The sequence below is a fragment of the Homo sapiens genome, chromosome 19 (assembly GCF_000001405.40).
Source record: "Homo sapiens chromosome 19, GRCh38.p14 Primary Assembly".
NCBI lineage: Eukaryota > Metazoa > Chordata > Mammalia > Primates > Hominidae > Homo > Homo sapiens.
In genome coordinates, this window is record NC_000019.10 from 40,092,249 (window position 1) to 40,115,235 (window position 22,987).

At 41.5% G+C, this 22,987-nt stretch overlaps 1 pseudogene, besides 2 other annotated features; it reads right to left on the reverse strand.

Annotated features, from left to right (window-relative positions):
* Positions 2,397-2,486: an enhancer, noted in NCBI's record as "active region_14638". NCBI's record gives its function as "activates an Ori minimal core promoter by ATAC-STARR-seq in GM12878 lymphoblastoid cells {active_cell/tissue: GM12878}" and the evidence as "EXISTENCE:reporter gene assay evidence [ECO:0000049][PMID:35858748]".
* Positions 14,931-15,495: an enhancer, noted in NCBI's record as "NANOG-H3K27ac hESC enhancer chr19:40613086-40613650 (GRCh37/hg19 assembly coordinates)". NCBI's record gives its function as "activates a minimal SCP1, AML or CMV promoter by ChIP-STARR-seq in primed H9 embryonic stem cells {active_cell/tissue: H9 hESC(primed)}" and the evidence as "EXISTENCE:reporter gene assay evidence [ECO:0000049][PMID:30033119]".
* LOC124904803 (uncharacterized) lies at positions 22,361-22,457 on the reverse strand (annotated as a pseudogene).
* Positions 22,458-22,987: the final 530 nt, after the last annotated feature.

Consider the following 22,987-nt stretch of genomic DNA (forward strand, 5'->3'; position numbering starts at 1 on the left):
TTAAATAAATAAATAAACAAAAAGTCAGACCCAAATGGGTGCTACCTACAGGTAATATGTTAAATGAAAAGCACTAAAAGGTTAAGAGTAAAAGGATGGAAAAATATACACCATCCTAACACTAGTCAAAAGAAAGCTGGAGTGGCTTTATTAAAAACAAAGTAGACTCCGGACATAGACTATTACCAGAGATAAAGAAGGGCATAATAATGATAAAGGAGATAGCTCATCGAGTAGAAAAAAACAAACATAAATTTTGCTCCTAAAAGCAAAGCTTCTAAGTATGGGAAGAAAAATCTATTAGATCGAAAAGGAGACAGATCCACAATTATAGTCAGATATTTCAATATATCTCTCTTGGTAATTGATAGAACAAACACAGAAAAGCAACAGGGTATAGCAGATTTGAGCTACATATCAACTTACTTGATCTCATTTATATTTGAGAACACTCTCCTCAATGACAGTAAAATTCATCTATGTGGACAGGGGATACTTACCAGTATAGGCCATATTCTGGGCCATAAAACAAGTCTCAATAAATGTAAGAGGATTCGAGTCATACAAAGCATATTCTTTGACAAAAATGGAATTAAATTAGAACTCAATAATAGCTGAATATATAATATATTGTCCAAAGTAGTACAAATTCGAAAAGGTATGAATACTAAGGTAATTGAAATTATGTAATGTTTGAAAAATTCCTGTATTAATTATAATATTCTGTTATATCCTAAAGGGTGAAACAATAACATATATACGTTAAAGCAAAATAACAATTTTGTAGTAAGGAAAAAAATTTTTAAGCTATTTATGTTGACTAAACATTAGAATAAAGCGGAGAATAATTATATTTAAGTATATTCTGATACTTTAATCGATTTCCTAACCAATATCACCATTCTTTTTAAGTATTTTCTTTCAATGTGGTCTATTATTTTTAAATTTTGATAAAATTTTATGCAATCTTCAATGTTGGACTTTATGTTTAATAAACTCAAAATTATAGCTACCTTCAAATGACTCTTCTCTGAACACCATACTTTTTAAACTGAGATATATACTCTGTATATACTAAGGTAACCAGAAGTCTCAGAATATATCCAATGAAATGGAAGATATCCTCACAAGTATTGTGAATATTGAATATGGAAAAATTAGATTGCAGTTCATATTCTTGTAGTTAATGTATCTTGCCTTCAAGGTACATCTCTTTTTTTGCCATCTCTTTTTTGTACCCTAAGAAGGGTACATTTCTTTGATAATTATCTTTACAAGGCAAACATATTGGTTCTATTTATGATTCCTTTGAATGTTAAGCCAAATTTAGATGCTGCAGTAACATAAGGCTTCTCAACTGCGCTCCATTCTGACACAAATTGCAAATTGATCCAGTTAAAAATTGGAGCATCATCAAAAGACTATTCCCATAGCTGAAGAAATTCCTCAGTAAAATTGAAGAATTTCAAAATTAAATCCTGTATGCCATCTGATATTTCATGACTTAATTCATTCAGTTTCTTTCTTAATTTGTAGGACTAAATCCCATTGTCTTCATGTTGGCCAGTTCTGATAACTGAAATTCAGTTGAATTTCTATGTTGAATAGGAGTGGTAAGAGAAGACATCTTTGTCTTGTGCCAAATCAACACAATCTTAAACAACCAAAGGATTAAAGAATGAATACAAAAATTTAGAAAATATTTTAGATAAATACAAATAAAAACACATGTTACCAAAGTTTATGATATGCTTATTACTAAGAGAAAAATTTATAGCTCTACATGCCTATATAAAAGAAGAAAGATGTCAAATCAACAACCTAACTGTACAACTTTAGGAATTAGAACATGAAAAATAGCAAAACAATAAATAAATAGAAGACAAGAAAGGAAGGAAATAATAAAAATAAGAGTGGAGTTAAATAGAGAATAGAAAAATAATACAGAAAAATTACAAAATTAAAAGTGGTTCTTTGAAAAGATCAAAAGAAGTAGCAAAATCTTAGCTGGATTGACTGAGAAAAAAATAGAAAAGACTCAAATTACTAAAGTCAGAGGTGAAAGTGGAGACATTACTAACCTTACAGAAATGAAAATGATTATAGAAGAATATTATAAACAATTGTATGCCAACAAAATAAACTAAATGGAAAGGAACAATTCTTTTTTTGCAATATTTATTTATTATTATACTTTTAAGTTCTGGGATACATGTGCAGAATGTGCAGGTTTGTTACATAGGTATACACGTGCCATGGTGGTTTGCTGCACCTATCAACCTGTCATCTACATTAGGTATTTCTCCTAATGCTATCCCTCCTCTAGTCCCCCACCCCCGACAGGCCCCAGTGTGTGATGAGGAACAATTCTTTACACAAACTGTCACTGATTCAAGAAGAAATAGAAAATCTTAAGAGGAGTGATGTCAGCAAGATTGGAGAATGGGACTTTCCAGCACTTAGCCCTCACATCAATTTAAACATCTGTTTACTCATGAACAAACTTTCACAAGAGCTAAAGTATCCAAGTAAGAGATTAGAGCACCTTGCTGTAGCACAGAAACAGGAAAAGATACATTAAAGAGGCTAAGAAGGAGCGTTTTGCATTACCTAGTCCATCACTCTCCCAAGCCCAGCCCAGAAATTATAGTGTGGTGAGATACCCTCCGTGTTAGAGGATGAATAAAGTGAACACCAACTTTGCTGTGGACCCTGGCAGCAGGACTACTCCACTGAAACCCAATGACCAGCTGGCCCCCTTGACCCAAACTCCAAGGTGGCACCCTCAGCTCCAGGCACAAAGCTGGCACCCACAGATCCAAGCTCCAGGATAACCCCCATGGATACAGGCTGTCAGCCTACCCAGCCCCTGTGGCTCCAGTCTCTAAGCTGGCTCCCATGGTCCTACACTCTGACAAACCCAGGGTTCAAACCCACTCCACCGCATCCAATATCCAGACCTGGCCCAGGAGACCCCAAGTGCCAGGCCAGCTCCTAGAGACCAAAGCTTTAGAACCACACCTAAAAACACAGGCTCCAGGCTGGCCTCCATATCCCTAGGACAGCACCCACAGCCTCAAGCTTCAGACTGACCCCTGTGGAATCCAGACCCAAATATGCCCCAGACCAGACCCAAGCTCCAGGCTGGTTCTTGTGACCCTATGCTCCAGTGGACCCAGGGTCCACGCCTGCCCAAGCGGATCCTGGAAGCAGGGTGACCCCTATGAGCTCAAGACCAAGGCATATTATGGGCCTATGTCCAGACCACCCCAGCACCAGGTCAACCTCTGTGGACCCAGACTTCAGGCTGGTTCCCATGGACAGTCCTCAGGCCTATCCATTTGTTGACCCTGGCACCAGACCAGCATGTCTGATAACTTCAGCAGTAATCCCACCCACAAACTTCTCTATACAGCCCACCCAATATCTCTGATGAAGGGCTTTCACTACCAAAGCTAGTCTGTAAAGACTAGAAGGGATGCCTACTTCTTCAAATGTTCAACACCAAAGCAAGTTCACAAAGATCATGAATAATTAAGAAAACATGACACCAACACAAATCAAAATAAACCATCAGTAACCAACTCTAAAGAAATGAACATTTACAAAATGCCTGGCAAAGAATTCAAAATGACTGTTTTAAAGAAACTCAGTGAGCAAACAAGAGAATACAGATAAACACTAAACAAAATCAGGAAAATGATATAGGAACAAAATTAGAAGTTCAAAAAAGAGATAGAAAACATAGCAAATTTTTGCAAACAAAAATTCTGGAACTAAAGAACACAATAACAGACTGAAAAATTCCATAGAATGCCTGAAGAGCAGACTTAAGCAGAATAAAGAATTAATGAGCTTGAAGACAGGTCATTTAAAAGTTAAAAGACAGGCCAGGTGCAGTGGCTCACACCTGCAATTCCAAAACTTTGAGAGGCCAATGTGGGAGAATTGCTTGAGGCCAGGAGTTGAGACCAGCATGGGCAACATAGTGAGACCTTAATTCTACAAAACAAACAAAATTTTTTAATTTAAAAAAATTTAGCTGGGCATGGTGGTGCAGAGCTGTAGTCCTAACTACTCAGGAGGCTGAGGCATGAGGATAACTCGAGCCCAGGAGTTTGAGGCTGCAGTGAGCTATGTTCATGTCAGTGTACCCTAGCCTGGGTGACAGTGAGACTCTGTCCCAAACAAAACAAAACAAGCTAAAAGGATTAAAAATGACTATAACTACAACAATTTGCCTATGGGTACATGATATATACAAGATACAAATTATACTTTGGAAGGCCGAGTTGGGCAGATCACTTGAGGTCAAGAGTTCAAGACAAGCCTGGCCAACATGGTAAAATCCCTTCTCTACTAAAAATACAAAAATTAATTGGGTGTGGTGGCATTTGCCTGTAGTCCCAGCTACTCAGGAGGCTAAGGCAGGAGAATCACTTGAACCCTGGAGACAGAGGTTGCAGTGAGCTGAGATCATGCCACTACACTCCAGTCTGGGTGATAGGGTGAGACTCTGTCTCAAAAAAAATAAAAAAGGTACAAATTATGACATCAATAATGTAAAATATGAGGAGAGAAGAAAGTGTAGAATTTTTTTTTTTTTTTGAGACAGAGTCTCGCTCTGATGCCCAGGCTGCAGTGCAGTGGTGCAATCTCGGCTCACTGCAAGCTCTGCCTCCTGGGTTCATGCCATTCTCCTGCCTCGGCCTCCCAAGTAGCTTGGGACCACAGGTGCCCACCATCACACCCGGACAATTTTTTATATTTTTAGTAGAGACGGGGTTTCACTGCATTAGCCAGGATGGTCTCGATCTCCTGACCTCGTGATCTGCCCGCCTCGGCCTCCCAAAGTGCTGGGATTACAGGCGTGAGCCACTGCAACTGGCCAAAGAGTGTAGAATTTTTGTATGCAGTTGAAGTTAAATTGTTATCAGCTTAAAATAGGCTACTACAATTATAAGATGTTTTAGGTAATCCTTATAGTAACTACAAAGAAAAATACCTACAGTAAATACAAAAAAAGACAAAGAGAAAGGAATCAAAGCATATCACTACAAAATATCATCAAATAACAAAGGAAAACAGCAAGGGAGAAAAATAGAACAAAGGAACTACAAAATAGAAAACAATTAACAAATGGCAGTAGTAATGAATAATTACTTTAAATGCAAATGGATTAAATTTGCCAATCAAAACACATACAGTGGTTGAATGGATAAAAAAAAACAAGATCCAATAATATTCTGCCTACAACAGACTCAGTTGTAAGGACACACATAGGCTGAAATTGAAGAATTGGAAAAGATATTTCATACAAATGGTAACCAGAAGACACCAGTGGTTGATGGGTGCAGTGGTATATTCCTGTAGTCCCAGCTACTCAGGAGTCTGATGTGGGAGGATTGCTTGAGCTCAGGAGTTCAAGGTCAGCCTGGGTAACATAGCAACACCCATGTCTATTAAAATTTTTTAATTAAAATTGAAAAAAACAGAGAACAAGGGCAGCTATGCCTATATGAGACTAAATAAACTTTAAGTCAAAAAACTGTCACAAGACATAAAGAAACATTATTGTATAGTTATAAAGGGGTCAATTCAATAAGAAGATATAATAATTATAAATATATATGTGCCCAACAATGGAGCACCCAAATATATGAAGCAAATGTTAAGAGAACTGAAAAGAGAAAGAGATAACAATACAATAATAGTAGAGGACTTCAATACTCTACTTTCAACCATTGATAGATAAAACAGACAGAAAATCAATAAGAAAATAGGGGACTTTAACAACAGTAGACACCAAATTAGGCATAATAAACATATATGGAACATTTCACCTAACAGCAGCAGAATACACATTCTTCTCAAGTGCACATGGAACATTCTTTGGAATAGGTCACACGTTAGGTCACAAAACAAGTCTAAACAAATTCAAGAAGATTGAAATCATGTCAAGTATCTTTTCCGACGACAATGAAATAAAACTAGAAATAACAGAAAGAAATTTGGAAAATGTACAAATATGTGGAAACTCATACACTACTGAACAACCAGTGGGTCAAAGAAGAAATCAAAAGGGAAATCAGAATATATATTGAGATGGCCAGGCACGGTGGCTCATGCCTGTAATCCCAGCAGTTTGGGAGGCCAAGGTGGCTAGATCACGTGAGGCCAGGAGTTTGAAACTAGCCTGGCCAACATGGTGAAACCTCATCTCTACTAAAAATACAAAAATTTGCCGGGCGTGGTGTTGCATGCCTTTAGTCCCAACTACTTGGGAGGCTGAGGCACGAGAATCACTTGAACCCAGGAGGAGGATGCTGCAGTGAGCCAAGATCATGCCACTGCACCACTACACTCCAGCCTAGGTGACAGAGCAAGATGCTGTCTCAAAAACAAACAAACAAAATATATATATACGTATATATATAGAAAGAGAGAGAGAGGGGTGGGGGAAGGGAGAGAGAAATACAAACGGAAACACAGCATACCAGAAGTTATTGGATGCAGCAAAAGTGCTTACAAGAGGGAAGTTTATACTATAAATGCTTACATTTTAAAAAAAGAAAAAAATGTCACCAATAAATAACCTAACAATGTACCTCAAGGCCTACGGAGAGAAAAACAAACAAACAAACAAAAAAAACTGGACCTAAAATTAGCATAAAGAAGGAAACATTAAAGATCAGAGCAGAAATAAGTGAACTCATGACCAAAAAAGGGTTAATAAAATTAAGAGTTGGCTTTTCTGTAAGTCAAAATTGACAAATCTTTAGCTAGACTAAGGAAAAAAAAGAGAGAAAACTCAAAAAATAAAATCACAAATAAAAGAGTAGACATTACAAGAAATGCCACAAACAAAAGGATTAGAAGAGACAACTATGAACAATTATATGCAAACAAACTGGCTAACAGAAAAAATAGATAAATTTCTAGAAACATATAATCTGCCACGACCGAATAATGAAGAAATAGAGCCTGAATAGACTAATAACAAGTATGGAGATCAAATCAGGAATCAAAACCCTACAAAGGGAATCCCAGGACCAGATGGCCTCACAGCTGAATTCCATGAAACATTTAAAAAAGAATTAACATGAATTATTCTCAAACTCTTCCAAAAAATTAAAGATAAAGGAATGCTTCAAAACTCACCTTATAAGTTTAGCACTGCCCTAATACCTGATACTCCCATCACAAGCAGCTAGTAAAAGAACAAATCAAGCCAAAGAATGTATAAAAGGAAGTACCACATATAAAAGCAGAAGTCAGTAAAATATAAAACAAATATACAATAGATAATGCAATATCGGAATTTGGTTCTTTTAAAATATATATATAATTTAAAAACCTCTAGCAAAATGTATGAGAGAGAGAGGAGTGTAAGAGGGAGAGAGGAAAAGGAAGGCAGGAAGAAAGGGAGGGAGAGAGGGAGGGATAGAAGGAATTACTAATATCAGAAATGATAAATGAGGTCTGAATACAGACTCTGTAGACATTATAAGCCCTCAGAAATAATGCCGCATATCTACAACCATCTGATCTTTGACAAACCTGACAAAAACAAGCAATGGGGAAAGGATTCCCTATTTAATAAATGGTGCTGGGAAAACTGGCTAGCCATATGTAGAAAGCTGAAACTGGATCCCTTCCTTACACCTTATACAAAAATTAATTCAAGATGGATTAAAGACTTAAATGTTAGACCTAAAACCATAAAAACCCTAGAAGAAAACCTAGGCAATACTATTCAGGACATAAGCATGGGCAAGGACTTCATGTCTAAAACACCAAAAGCAATGGCAACAAAAGCCAAAATTGACAAATGGGATCTAATTAAACTAAAGAGCTTCTGCACAGCAAAAGAAACTACCATCAGAGTGAACAGGCAGCCTACAAAATGGGAGAAAATTTTCGCAACCTACTCATCTGACAAAGGGCTAATATCCAGAATCTACAATGAACTCAAACAAATTTACAAGAAAAAAACAAACAACCCCATCAAAAAGTGGGCAAAGGATATGAACAGACACTTCTCAAAAGAAGACATTTATGCAGCCAAAAAACACATGAAAAAATGCTCATCATCATTGGCCATCAGAGAAATGCAAATCAAAACCACAGTGAGATACCATCCCACACCAGTTAGAATGGCGATCATTAAAAAGTCAGGAAACAACAGGTGCTGGAGAGGATGTGGAGAAATAGGAACACTTTTACACTGTTGGTGGGACTGTAAACTAGTTCAACCATTGTGGAAGTCAGTGTGGCGATTCCTCAGGGATCTAGAACTAGAAATACCATTTGATCCAGCCATCCCATTACTGGGTATATACCCAAAGGATTATACATCATGCTGCTATAAAGACACATGCACATGTATGTTTATTGCGGCACTATTCACAATAGCAAGGACTTGGAACCAACCCAAATGTCCAACAACGATAGACTGGATTAAGAAAATGTGGCACATATACACCATGGAATACTATGCAGCCATAAAAAATGATGAGTTCATGTCCTTTGTAGGGACATGGATGAAACTGGAAACCATCATTCTCAGCAAACTATCACAAGGACAAAAAACCAAACACCGCATGTTCTGACTCATAGGTGGGAATTGAATAATGAGAACACATGGACACAGGAAGGGGAACATCACACATTGGGGACTGTTGTGGGGTGGGGGGAGGGGGGAGGGATAGCATTAGGAGATATACCTAATGCTAAATGACGAGTTAATGGGTGCAGCACACCAACATGGCACACGTATACATACGTAACAAACCTGCACATTGTGCGCATGTACCCTAAAACTTAAAGTATAATAATAATAAAATTTTAAAAAAAGAGAATTAAGGTAAAACAATAAAAACTTTTTGACATTTGACAATTTAGTTAAATGTCCAATTTTCTTGAGGAATAAAACTTGTACAAATTGACATAAGAAGAAATAGAAATTCTGAATTATCCTTAATCTATTTAAAAAAAAGGACTAGTATTTTTTTAATTCTCCCAAAAGAAAATTCCAAGTCTAAATCGCTTCACTAATGAATCCTTCTAAACATTTAAGAAATATCATCAGCCTTAGACAAACTCATCCAGAGAATAGAAAAAAATGGAAACATTTCCCAACTCATTCTAAAAGTCCAGTCATTCTGATATTAAAACCTGACAAGGATACTTCAATTTGTATCTTATAAACATAAGTACAAAAATCTTTACCAAAATAATAGCAAATCAAGAAAAATATAAGAAGTATAATATATCACAACCAAGTAGGGTTTATTTAAGAAATGCAAGGGTAGCGTAACATTGAAAATCAATCAGTATAATTCTAGTATATTAACAGAAAATACAATCGTCTTGGTAGACTCAGAAAAACCACTTGATAGAAGTCAGTACTTAAAACACAGCAAACTAAGAACAAAAAAAGCTTCCCTATTTTTATAAATATCATCTAATATGATTTGCTAAAGAACTTTAAAAAGCACTTTAGCAAATCATAAGATTTTTAAAAATGATTTAAAAGTTCATTTTAATCATAAGATTTACAAAGAACTTTAGCAAATCATAATTAATGATGAATTATTATAATTAATAGTGAAAAATTGAAAGCTCTTCTTCTGAGATCAGAATTAAGCAAGGATACCCATTCTCACCACTTTATTTGAGGCTCCATTCAATGCATTAAAGCAAAACATATGAATAAAAGGCGTATCAATGGAATGAAAATAGACAACCTGTTGTTCCTCACAGATGACATCATGGCAAAAATAGAAAATAAAAATGAATCTACAGCAATGTATTATATAATTTAGCAATGTCACTGGATTTAAATATAAAGTACAAATACAAAAAAGAAATATTATTTCTATGTAATTTCTAAATACTACCAACAAAGAAATATAAAATGAAAATTTTAAAGTGGTGCCATTTAAAATATCAAGTATCTAGAAAAAAATCTAATAAATGGTGTAGAAAACTTCTACACTAGCCTAGCCCAGTGGCTCATGCCTGTAACCCTAGAACTTTGAGAGGCTGAGGAGGGAGGCTTGCTTGAGGGCAGGAATTCAAGACCAGCTTGGGTAACATAGTGAGACCCATGTCTCTACAAAAAATATTTAGCTGGGCATGATGGTGTGCCCCTGTAGTCCCAGCTACTCAGGAGGCTAAATTGGGAGGATCACTTGGGCCCAGGAGGTCAGGCTGCAGTGAACCATCATCACGCCTCTGTACTCCAGCCTAGGTGACAGAGTGTGACCCTGTCTCAAAAAAAAGACTTTGGGAGCCTGAGGTGGGAGGATCACTTGAGCCCAGATTCTAGACCAGCCTCAGCAACATGGTCAAACCCCAAAAATGTTATAAAAATTAGCCAGGCATGATGGCACACACCTGTAGCCTGGGAGATCGAGATTGCAGTGAGCCGTGCCACTGCACTCTAGCCTGGGCAGCACAGCAAGACCTTGTCTCAAAACAAAAACAAAACACAAATTGTTCCTGGAAAAAAATTAAATAAGACCTAAATCAGCAAGGGATACACTGTTTATAGATTGAAATACTCAATTTGGCTGGATGCTGTGGCTCACACCTGTAATCCCAGCGCTTTGGGAGGCTAAGGTGGGCGGATCACCTGAGGTCAAGAGTTCAAGACCAACCTGGCCAACATGATGAAACCATGTCTCTACTAAAAATACAAAAGTTAGATGGGCATGGTGGCAGCCACTTGTAATCCCAGCTACTCAGGAGGCTGAGGAATCGCTTGAACCCAAGAGGTGGAGGTTGCAGTGAGCTGAGATTGTGCCACTGCACTCCAGCCTGGGCAAATAAAAAAAAAAAAAAGATTGAAATACTCAATTTTTAAAAAATATCAATCCTTCCAAATAGATATATACATTAAATGCAACCCCAGTGAAAATTCCAGCAGGATTGTTTGTGAAAATGTATAGGCTGATTCCAAAATGGAAATGGAAAGATCAGAGATGAAGAAAAGTTCATTGAAGAGAAACTGAAGAAAAGAACAGAGCTGGAGGGCTTATTTAAAAGCCTTTATAATTAAGATAATGTAGCAATGGCACAGAGTTAGACAAATAGACCAATGGGAAAGAGTAGAGATTACAAAACTGAAGTAAAGACAAAACTGTATTCTCAAAAAAGTTGTGCCTAAGTGTCCCAAAGACATACACAAAAACAGTGCTGTTATGACAGTGGAAAAATACAGTGATATGAAAATAAAAACTGGCTGGGCATGGTGGCTCATGCATGTAATCCCAGCACTTTGGAAGACTGAGGCGGGCAGATCATCTAAGGTTAGGAATTCGAGATCAGCCTGGCCAACATAGCGAAACCCCATCTCTACTAAAAGTACCAAAATTAGCTGGGCGTGATGGCGAATGCCTGTAGTCCCAGTTACTCGGGAGTCTGAGACAGGAGAATCACTTGAACCTGGGAGGCAGAGGTTGAAGTGAGCCGAGATTGCACTACTGCACTCCAGGCTGGGCAAAAGAGCAAAGCTCTGTCTCAAAATAAATAAATAAATAAATAAATAAATAAATAAATAAATAAATAAAAAGAAAGAAACTAAAAATTTCAACTACATGCAATAGTATGTATGAGTTTCAGGACATAATGTTGAGCCATAGAAGTCAGGCACAATGAGTATATGTACTGTGTGATTCCATTTATACAAAGCTCAAACACAATGAAACTAATCTACAGTTTTAGAGATTTGGATAGTGGTAACCTTTGGGATTAGTGACTTTATTATGGCATGAAAGTAGACCCTGGGATGTTGGTATTACTCTGTTTCTTAATCTGGATTTTGTTTTCAGGAGAGTATTCAAATTATGAAAATGTGAAGGTCTGTACACTTACGATTTGAACTCTCTCCTTTGTGAATGTTGCACTGAAATAAAATGTATGGGAAAAAAGACATAAGGTTAGGTAAATAATAGCCTGGAACTTTCATAAATCTTTTTTTTTTTTTATCTTTTGAAAAAAGATGTTACACTGTCACTCAGGCTGGAGTGCAGTGGCACTATCATGGCTCACTGCAGCCTCAACCTCATGGGCAATAACAAGTGTGATGTCAGTCTGAGGTCGGACAGGCAGTTGTTGGGCAGATGTCCTTGCAGAAGTATTCTTTTGTGTAAGATTACAACGGCCTTTGTGCAAGGTTTTGGTTTTGTTTTGTTTTGTTTAGACACAACTCAAGTGATCCTCATGCCTCACCTCCCAAATACCTGGGACTGTAGATGCACGACATCTTGCCCAGCTCGATTGTGAGTTTTGCAAAGTCTTTTCTGTTATCAGGCATACAAGCTGAGAATCCCCTCTTCATAGCCCTCTTCATCCAACTCTATTTGTCAGGATTTGTTTAACATTAGTGATTCCATTTTGATTCTGGAAACTTTCACATTTCCCTCTTTCATTCAAGATCTTTCTCCAAAAACATCACTGATCAATCATCCTGTAGTTAAATTTTTATGTCCCTTAATGCTGACATGAACCTGTTGCAGTTGCTGGTCTTGACCCACATTGAGGGAAGTGATTGGTGACTAGGAATCAGTGTGAAAACCCTTTGAGCCACATTTAAACAACAAGGGAGATTTCAAAGGAGTGGCTGTTATGCCAAGTCTACGTGGAATCCATTACTAAATTCTATTTTGTCTGTTCTGTAGTTTTTTGGTAATCATCTGAAAGTGCTTGGCTAGCATTATTTTATTAGGAGTTGTATTCTGCAAAATTAACAAGTAACAAATACAAAGTTTTTAAAAGGGACAAAAACAAAGTAAAACTAACTGCAGTATGACAATCCCAGTTTGCATAATGGTCTTGAGACATGAACCTAGGCTTAAAGACAACTAATTGAATATATCAAGTGACCATAGAAAATTAGATGAGACCTATTGTAACCATGTGGCCTGTTTTCTTATTTTGTGTATATGCGTCTCAACTTTCCCAGAGGAATCTATCCAGGTACAGCATGTAATAGTATTAGCAATAGTACAGACCTTTTCTTATTTAACCAATAGATGCTAAAGGATTTCTTAGGTTAAGATTTCTGCCAGGCGCGGTGGCTCACGCCTGTAATCCCAGCACTTTGGGAGGCCGAGGCGGGCGGATCACGAGGTCAGGAGATCGAGACCACGGGGAAACCCCGTCTCTACTAAAAATACAAAAAATTAGCCGGGCGCAGTGGTGGGCACCTGTAGTCCCAGCTACTCGGGAGGCTGAGGCAGGAGAATGGCGTGAACCCGGAAGGCGGAGCTTGCAGTGAGCGGAGATCGCGCCACAGCACTCCCGCCTGGGCGACAGAACGAGACTCCGTCTCAAAAAAAAAAAAAAAAAAAAAAGATTTCTTAAGTTACCAGCAGAAGCTGTTGAACGTAAAATTTCATTTACACCATAACATGGTTTGGCTCTGTGTCCCCACCCAAATCTCATGTCAAATTGTAATTCCCAGTGTTGGAGGAAGGGCCTGGTGGGAGGTGGCGGACTTCCCCCTGTCCCCCTTGCTGTTCTCGTGAAAAATGTGTAGCACCTCCCCACCTACGCCCTCTCTCTCTCTCTCTCCAGCCATGTGAAGATGTGCCTGCTTCCCCTTCACCTTCCACCATGATTGTAAGTTTCCGGAGGCCTCCCCAGAAACAGAAGCCTGTACAGCCCACAGAACCATGAGCTGATTAAACCTCTTCTTTATAAATTACCCAGTCTCAGGTATGTCTTTATAGCAGTGTGAGTGTGGACTAATTACACCATTATCCTGATAAGTGAAAACGGTAACATTAAGGGGAGCCTTGGGGAAAGCTGTTTACAACATAACAACATCAACTTCTCCTCCTGACTGGTAGTTTGAATGTCTGGGCATGACATTGGGTGGTTTGGTGAACTTTTTGTATGGTCCATACATCAGGCATGAGGCTTGTTCCTGAAAATTCATCTAGTTTCAGCTTATAGGGCTTTAGGAATAGAGCAGATTTTGTTTTCAGTTGGAGAGTTGTAGCCAAATATTGAAAAAAATTAGGAGAATTCATGAATGGGTCTAGTCTATAGGTAGATGACAAAAACTTGAAACTAATGCACAGGGCTACAGTCTAATCTAATAATGGGTGTATTATAGTTTTTCTTTGAAACAAAGTTTTTCCCTCTACATTGATAATATAAAAATCTCAGATTTGGCAGGGCATGGTGGCTGATGCCTGTAATCTCAGCACTTTGGGAGACCAAGGTGAGTGGATCACTGGAGGTCAGGAATTCCAGACCAGCCTGGCCAACATGGTGAAACCCTGTCTCTACTAAAATACAAAAAATTAGCTGGGCATGGTGGCACACACCTGTAATCTCAGCTACTTGGGAGGCTGAGGCAGGAGAATCACTTGAACCCAGGAAGTGGAAGCAGAAAAAACATCTCAGATTTAAAAACCTTTTGAGATTAGGAAGCCAAACCTAGGCAGATGTTAGATTTTACTAAGAATCTTAAGGTTGTTGGGCCTGCCAGGAAGTGACCATTTTTAATCACTCATTGTAAGACTGGGAACTCCTGAAGCTAGGCATCTAGTGTACATTCTTAAATGTGGCATTTCAGTCAAAAACCTTGGTAATAGAGCCAATGTTTCAAATTGCAATCTGGTTATAAAGAAAGCAGGTCTTTATTAAACTTATGTAAATGAAAACAAGAATACTCACAAGTGGTTTCTGAATTTTGGAGAAATCAAGTAGAGAGAAAAAGCAAATGCTTCCATGTTTGTTGACAAAAGTACAATATACTTATTTACAAATTGTTGTAAACTATACCTTATGAAATAAAATGTCCTTAAATCTGGGAAACAAAACATTTAAGTAAAGGATGTTTTAAATAAAAGTTATAAAACATTATCTTTATCAGTTACTTAATTTTATGTAATTAATTTTTTGTTGTTCTTGATCCCAATTAATAGTTTTTTTTTTTTTTTTTTTTTTTTTTTTTAATTTATTTTTTTATTGATAATTCTTGGGTGTTTCTCACAGAGGGGGATTTGGCAGGGTCATGGGACAATAGTGGAGGGAAGGTCAGCAGATAAACAAGTGAACAAAGGTCTCTGGTTTTCCTAGGCAGAGGACCCTGCGGCCTTCCGCAGTGTTTGTGTCCCTGATTACTTGAGATTAGGGATTGGTGATGACTCTTAACGAGCATGCTGCCTTCAAGCATCTGTTTAACAAAGCACATCTTGCACCGCCCTTAATCCATTTAACCCTGAGTGGACACAGCACATGTTTCAGAGAGCACAGGGTTGGGGGTAAGGTCACAGATCAACAGGATCCCAAGACAGAGGAATTTTTCTTAGTGCAGAACAAAATGAAAAGTCTCCCATGTCTACTTCTTTCTACACAGACACGGCAACCATCCGATTTCTCAATCTTTTCCCCGCCTTTCCCGCCTTTCTATTCCACAAGGCCGCCATTGTCATCCTGGCCCGTTCTCAATGAGCTGTTGGGCACACCTCCCAGACGGGGTGGTGGCTGGGCAGAGGCGCCCCTCACCTCCCGGACGGGGCGGCTGGCCGGGCGGGGGGGGCTGACCCCCCCCACCTCCCTCCTGGACGGGGCGGCTGGCCGGGCGGGGGGCTGACACCCCCACCTCCCTCCCGGACGGGGCGGCTGGCCGGGCAGAGGGGCTCCTCACTTCCCAGTAGGGGTGGCCGGGCAGAGGCGCCCCTCACCTCCCGGACGGGGCCACTGGCCGGGCAGGGGGGCTGACCCCCCCCACCTCCCTCCCGGACGGGGCGGCTGGCCGGGCGGGGGGCTGACCCCCCCACCTCCCTCCCGGACGAGGCGGCTGGCTGGGCGTGGGGCTGACACCCCCACCTCCCTCCCAGACAGGGCGGCTGGCCGGGCGGGGGGCTGACCCCCCCACCTCCCTCCCGGATGGGGCGGCTGGTCGGGCGGGGGGCCGACCCCCCCACCTCCCTCCCGGACGGGGCGGCTGGCCGGGCAGAGGAGCTCCTCACTTCCCAGTAGGGGCGGCCGGGCAGAGGCGCCCCTCACCTCCCAGACGGGGCGGCTGGCCGGGCGGAGGGCTGACCCCCCCACCTCCCTCCCGGACAGGGCGGCTGGCCGGGCGGGGGGCTGACCCCCCCACCTCCCTCCCGGACGGGGCGGCTGGCCGGGCAGAGGGGCTCCTCACTTCCCAGTAGGGGCGGCCGGGCAGAGGCGCCCCTCACCTCCCAGACGGGGCGGCTGGCCGGGCGGAGGGCTGACCCCCCCACCTCCCTCCCGGACGGGGCGGCTGGCCAGGCGGGGGGCTGACCCCCCCACCTCCCTCCCGGACGGGGCGGCTGGCCGGGTGGGGGGGCTGACCCCCCCATCTCCCTCCCGGACGGGGTGGCTGGCCGGGCTGAGGGGCTCCTCACTTCCCAGTAGGGGCGGCCGGGCAGAGGCGCCCCTCACCTCCCGGACGGGGCGGCTGGCCGGGCGGGGGGCTGACCCCCCCACCTCCCTCCCGGATGGCACAGCTGGCCGGGCGGGGGGGCTGACCCCCCACCTCCCTCCCGGATGGGGTGGCTGGCCGGGTGGGGGGCTGACCCCCCCCCACCTCCCTCCCGGACGGGGTGGCTGCTGGGCGGAGATGCTCCTCACTTCCCAGATGGGGTGGCTGCCGGGCGGAGAGGCTCCTCACTTCTCAGACGGGGCAGCTGCCGGGCGGAGGGGCTCCTCACTTCTCAGACGGGGTGGTTGCCAGGCAGAGGGTCTCCTCACTTCTCAGACGGGGCGGCCGGGCAGAGACGCTCCTCACCTCCCAGACGGGGTCTCGGCCGGGCAGAGGCGCTCCTCACATCCCAGATGGGGCGGCGGGGCAGAGGCGCTCCCCACATCTCAGACTATGGGCGGCCGGGCAGAGACGCTCCTCACTTCCTAGATGTGATGGCGGCTGGGAAGAGGTGCTCCTCACTTCCTAGATGGGATGGCGGCCGGGCGGAGACGCTCCTCACTTTCCAGACTGGGCAGCCAGGCAGAGGGGCTCCTCACATCCCAGACGATGGGCGGCCAGGCAGAGACACTCCTCACTTCCCAGACGGGGTGGCGGCCGGGCAGAGGCTGCAATCTCGGCACTTTGGGAGGCCAAGGCAGGCGGCTGGGAGGTGTAGGTTGTAGTGAGCCGAGATCACGCCACTGCACTCCAGCATGGGCACCATTGAGCACTGAGTGAACGAGACTCCGTCTGCAATCCCGGCACCTCGGGAGGCCGAGGTTGGCGGATCACTCGCGGTTAGGGGCTGGAGACCGGCCCGGCCAACACAGCGAAACCCTGTCTCCACCAAAACCAGTCAGGCGTGGCGGCGCGTGCCTGCAATCGCAGGCACTCGGCAGACTGAGGCAGGAGAATCAGGCAGGGAGGATGCAGTGAGCCGAGATGGCAGCAGTACAGTCCAGCTTCGGCTCCGCATGAGAGGGAGACCGTGGGGAGAGGGAGAGCGAGAGGGAGACGGAGAGCGAGAGGGAGACGGAGAGCGAGAGGGAGACGGAGAGGGAGAGGGAGAGGGAGAGGGAGAGGGAGAGGGAGAGGGAGAGGGAGAGGGAGAGGGAGACAGAGGGAGAGGGAGAGGGAGAGGGAGAGGGACCAATTAATAGTTTTATGAGTCCATCAGTTTCTTTATTAGAGTTCTTGAAATTTTTATTTAATCCATTGATCTTAAAGCTGTCAGAAATCTGTGTTCAAGCCTGGTGCAGTGGCTCACACCTGTAATCCCAGTACTTTGGGAAGCCACAGCAGGAGAATAACTTGAGGCCAGGAGTTCAAGTCTAGCCTAGACAACATAGTGAGACCCCCCTCTCTACAAAAAAATAAAAATAATAAAACCAGCCAACCACAGCTGTGGACACCTATAGTCCCAGCCACTCGGGAGTCTGAGATGGGTAGATTACTTGATCACAGGAGTTCATAGCTGTAGTAAGCTATTATCATGGCACTGCACTCAAATTGGGTGACAGAGTGAGACCCTGTCACCAAAAAAAAAAAAAGTCTGTTCAAGGGTACGTGTTAGAGTTGCTTTCTTGAAAAGCAATTTTGAACCATGGCTGATTATAAATGTTTTTAGAGAAGAATTCAAAACAATTACTGTAAGTAACAAAAACTTAGACTAGCCATAAAGGCTCCCAATTTATCAAAACAGAATCACACATCACTGTAAAATCATGGTTATTCATTTAACCAGAGTGATAATCAAAAGGCTTCAAAAACAATACAGAAAATTTCATGGATATGAAAACTTTAACCCTTTCAAAGCTCAGTTTTTCTAAGTAATCAAAAACCTAATAAAGACAACGTAGGAATTGTCTTGATAAAATGTAAAATCTTTGGGGTTTTGTTTAAGACCAGTTACAAAAAGCTAAATTAAAAACTTCTTGTATTCTAATTGTTTTTCCTTATGGGAAGCATGTTTAGGCAAGCTGGAAGTCAAATCTAATGAAAAGGGTACTTGAATTTTATCAGACACAGGAAGAGTTTGTCCAAGGCTATGAGTAAACACTATATTATAGAGGAATGTAAATAAGAAAACTAGTACCTTGAGCAGGGGGGAAAACATAGCTCTTAGTAACAGCATGGGAAGTTTCCCGGTTACACGAAGCAATTCAGACACATCAAGAAAAGCCAAGAGTACAGAATCAAGTTATACTGGAAGAAAACATTGCTTTTCTTGACCTGCAAGATAAACATTTCAGCATTGGGCCATAACAGTAGGATTAAAACCGGGGGTGGGGGGTGAGGGAAGTTACAGCAATTTAAAAAAAAAGGTTGAATGAGAAAGTTATCACCTCAGCCAAGCAAAAATGATATACCATTTCAAGGGGAGAAAGAACAGAAGGCAATGATGTATGACCATCACATCACATGCAGTGAGATACAGCGAAGGATGAACTTCTCATAAATAAATCTGAGAAGTTCCAAAAAGAAAACAATTTACCTTGAGAATAAAATCACATTCTGAATGAAAAAGATAGCATTTCGAACCTGAAATTAGGGAGGTTAATTATATCTCAGGAAGAAATAGAAATAATATAGAAAGATGGTTGTTAAACAGATTTCAGAATTAAAAACCAGAACCTCTTGTAATTTTATATAGAGCAAATCAATACTTTAAGAAAAACTTATTCTAACATAGAGGACTAAATTTTTTTAGTTTTGCATTAGTGCTTTTTTTTCTTTTTTTCTTTCTTTTTTTTTTGTTTTTTTTTTTTGTTTAGACAGAGTCTTGCTCTGTCATCCAAGCTAGAGTGCAGTGGTGCCATCTCAGCTCACTGCAACCTCCACCTCCTGGGTTCAAGCAATTTTCCCGCCTCAGCCTCTTGAGTAGCTGGGACTACAGGCACCCACTACCATGCCCAGCTAATTTTTGTATTTTTACTAGAGGGAGGGTTTCGCAATGTTGGCTAGGCTGGTCTCGAACTCCTGACCTCAAGTGATCCTCCCAAAGTGCTGGGATTACAGGCATGAGCCACCATGCCCAGCCAGCATTTTTAATATCTGTATTAGTCCATTTCCACACTGCTATAAAGAACTACTTGAGACTGGGTAATTTATTTTTTTTTAAAAAAAAGGTTCAATTGACTTACAGTTCTGCATAGCCAGGGAGGTGTCAGGAAACTTACAATCATGGCAGAAGGTGAAGGGGAAGCAAGGCACGTCTTGCATGGCTGCAGGAGAGAGAGATAAAGAAAGTGCCACACTTTTAAACCATCAGATTGTGTGAGAACTCACTCACTATCATGAGAACAGCGTGGGGTAAACCCACCCCCATGAACCAGGTCCCTCCACAACACATGGGGATAACAATTCAAGATGAGATTTGGGTGGGGACACAGAACCAAACTGTATCAATATCAAACTTCAGTCTTTAGAAAGACTAAATTACAGCCAAGTTGATCCCACACAAAATTCTTTTTTTTTTTCTATTGAGACACAGTCTCACTCTGTTGCCCAGGCTGGAGTGCAGTGGTGTGCTCTTGGCTCACTGAAACCTCTGTCTCCTGGGTTCCAGCGATTCTCCTCAATCAGGCCCCTGAGTAGCTGGAATTACAGGCATTCACCACCACAATCAGCTAATTTTTGTATTTTTTTAGTAGAGACAGGGTTTCGTCATGTTGGCCAGGCTGATCTCGAACTCCTGACCTCAGGTGATCCACCTGCCTTGGCCTCCCAAAGTGCTGGGATTATAGGTGTGAGCCACCATGCCCAGCCAAATAAATTTTCTTTTCATGAACTTTATCACAATTTATTTAGACTATTGACAACATGCTTGGACTTTCTACTTTGTCCTATACTTCCTTTTTCTTAAATAACCAGTCATTTTACTTTAGGACAAAAATTTACCATGAAAAGATTCTTTCTCATACAAAATTATTCTTCTATTTTTTAACCTCCCTTACGAAAAATACATCTTCATATTCCTACCTTTTCTCACATTCCTCTCTCCTACTTATTGGTTCCTTTCTATCTTGTTTGATCTGAGAGCCTAAGCTTTAAAAACATTTATCTATTCCTTTTTCTTTTAGATTACTAATTTTTCAAATAAGTGTTTTATCATCATACACAATTGTTAGTCAGACAACTCCAAATTTATTTATTTATTTATTTTTGATACAGAGTCTCACTCTGTCACCCAGGCTTGAGTGCAGTGATGCAATCTCTGCTCACTGCAATCTCTGCCTTCCGAGTTCAAGTGAATCTCATGCCTCAGCTTCCCAAGTACCTGGGATTACAGGCATGGGCCACCACACTGGCTAATTTTTGTATTTTTGGTAGAGACAGGTTTTGCCATGTTGGCCAGGCTGGTCTCAAACTCCTGGCCTCAAGCAATCTGCCCACCTTGGCCTCCCAAAGTGCTAAGATTACAGGCATGAGCCATCACACCCAGCCTAAATTTGTATTTCTAAAAGGTGTCTCGGTTGTTGGTTACCACGGAGTTGTAATTTTAAAGCTATTAATTCAAAAGCCCTTTAAAACTTCTTCTTTTAAAAATCTTGATTGGAATGCCATAAGCAGTGAGTTTTATCTCAACACCAGCAGAAAGGTCAGCAGATTCCAAGTAGGCAGAGAAAAAATTAGAGAGATAGCTTAGAAGACTCTACATGTTAACTCTATAGTTGCAGATTTTTTTTTAACAATGACCATCTAAGCTCTGAATTTTCCTTGCTGTAATTTGCCCATCAATGTAAAAATGTGCACAAGAACAGGCCATAATATGTGCCAACTATAGTGGGTCCCAGAAAATCTGGCATGCCTTATTCATGTTTGAGAATGCCATTTTGTTTCTTTCTTTCTTTTTTTTTTTATACTTTAAGTTTTAGGGTACATGTACACATTGTGCAGGTTAGTTACATATGTATACATGTGCCATGCTGGTGCGCTGCACCCACTAACTCATCATCTAGCATTAGGTATATCTCCCAATGCTATCCCTCCCCCCTCCCCCCACCCCACCACAGTCCCCAGAGTGTGATATTCCCCATCCTGTGTCCATGTGCCATCTCATTGTTCAATTCCCACCTATGAGTGAGAATATGCGGTGTTTGGTTTTTTGTTCTTCCGATAGGTTACTGAGAATGATGATTTCCAATTTCATCCATGTCCCTACAAAGGACATGAACTCATCATTTTTTATGGCTGCATAGTATTCCATGGTGTATATGTGCCACATTTTCTTAATCCAGTCTATCATTGTTGGACATTTGGGTTGGTTCCAAGTCTTTGCTATTGTGAATAATGCCACAATAAACATACGTGTGCATGTGTCTTTATAGCAGCATGATTTATAGTCATTTGGGTATATACCCAGTAATGGGATGGCTGGGTCAAATGGTATTTCTAGTTCTAGATCCCTGAGGAATCGCCACACTGACTTCCACGATGGTTGAACTAGTTTACAGTCCCACCAACAGTGTAAAAGTGTTCCTATTTCTCCACATCCTCTCCAGCACCTGTTGTTTCCGGACTTTTTAATGATCGCCATTCTAACTGGTGTGAGATGGTATCTCATTGTGGTTTTGATTTGCATTTCTCTGATGGCCAATGATGATGAGCATTTTTTCATGTGTTTTTTGGCTGTACAAATGTCTTCTTTTGAGAAGTGTCTGTTCATGTCCTTCGCCCATTTTTTGATGGGGTTGTTTGTTTTTTTCTTGTAAATTTGTTTGAGTTCATTGTAGATTCTGGATATTAGCCCTTTGTCAGATGAGTAGGTTGCGAAAATTTTCTCCCATTTTGTAGGCTGCCTGTTCACTCTGATGGTAGTTTCTTTTGCTGTGCAGAAGCTCTTTAGTTTAATTAGATCCCATTTGTCAATTTTGGCTTTTGTTGCCATTGCTTTTGGTGTTTTGGACATGAAGTCCTTGCCCATGCCTCGGTGCTCTACACGTTCAGAGAAACTTCTCTAGTAACAAACTATAGAAATGATCCCTGAAAGTATAGTCTTGAGAATGCCATTTTGTTTCTTATTCATCTCCTGGGAGCAAAGAAAATCTTCTAAGTCCTGTAAGGGAATTCAGAAGTTTTTTAAAAATTATTATTTTTTTATTTTATTATTTTTTTGATATGTAGTCTTGCTCTGTTGCCCAGGCTGGAGTGCAACAGCGCCATGTTGGCTCACTGCAACCTCCACCTCCTGGATTCAAGTGATTCTCCAGCCTCAGCCTCCCGAGTGGTTGGGATTACAGGCTTGCGCCACCATGCCCAGCTAATTTTTGTGTTTTTAGTAGAGACGGGGTTTCACCATGTTGCCCAGGCTAGTCCGAACTCCTGACCTCAGGTGATCCACCCACCTCGGCTTCCTAGTGCTGGAATGATAGGCCTGAGCCACCGCACCCGGACAAATTCAGGAGTTTAGACCAGTGTTTTAGATGGTGGTGTCTGCCCTGGTAGCTGTAAAGTAGCCCTCGTGCATCCATCATTTAGAATATTTACTTTTGCTCCTGTAAGATTTTCAGAAACAAGCAAGGAAAAAGA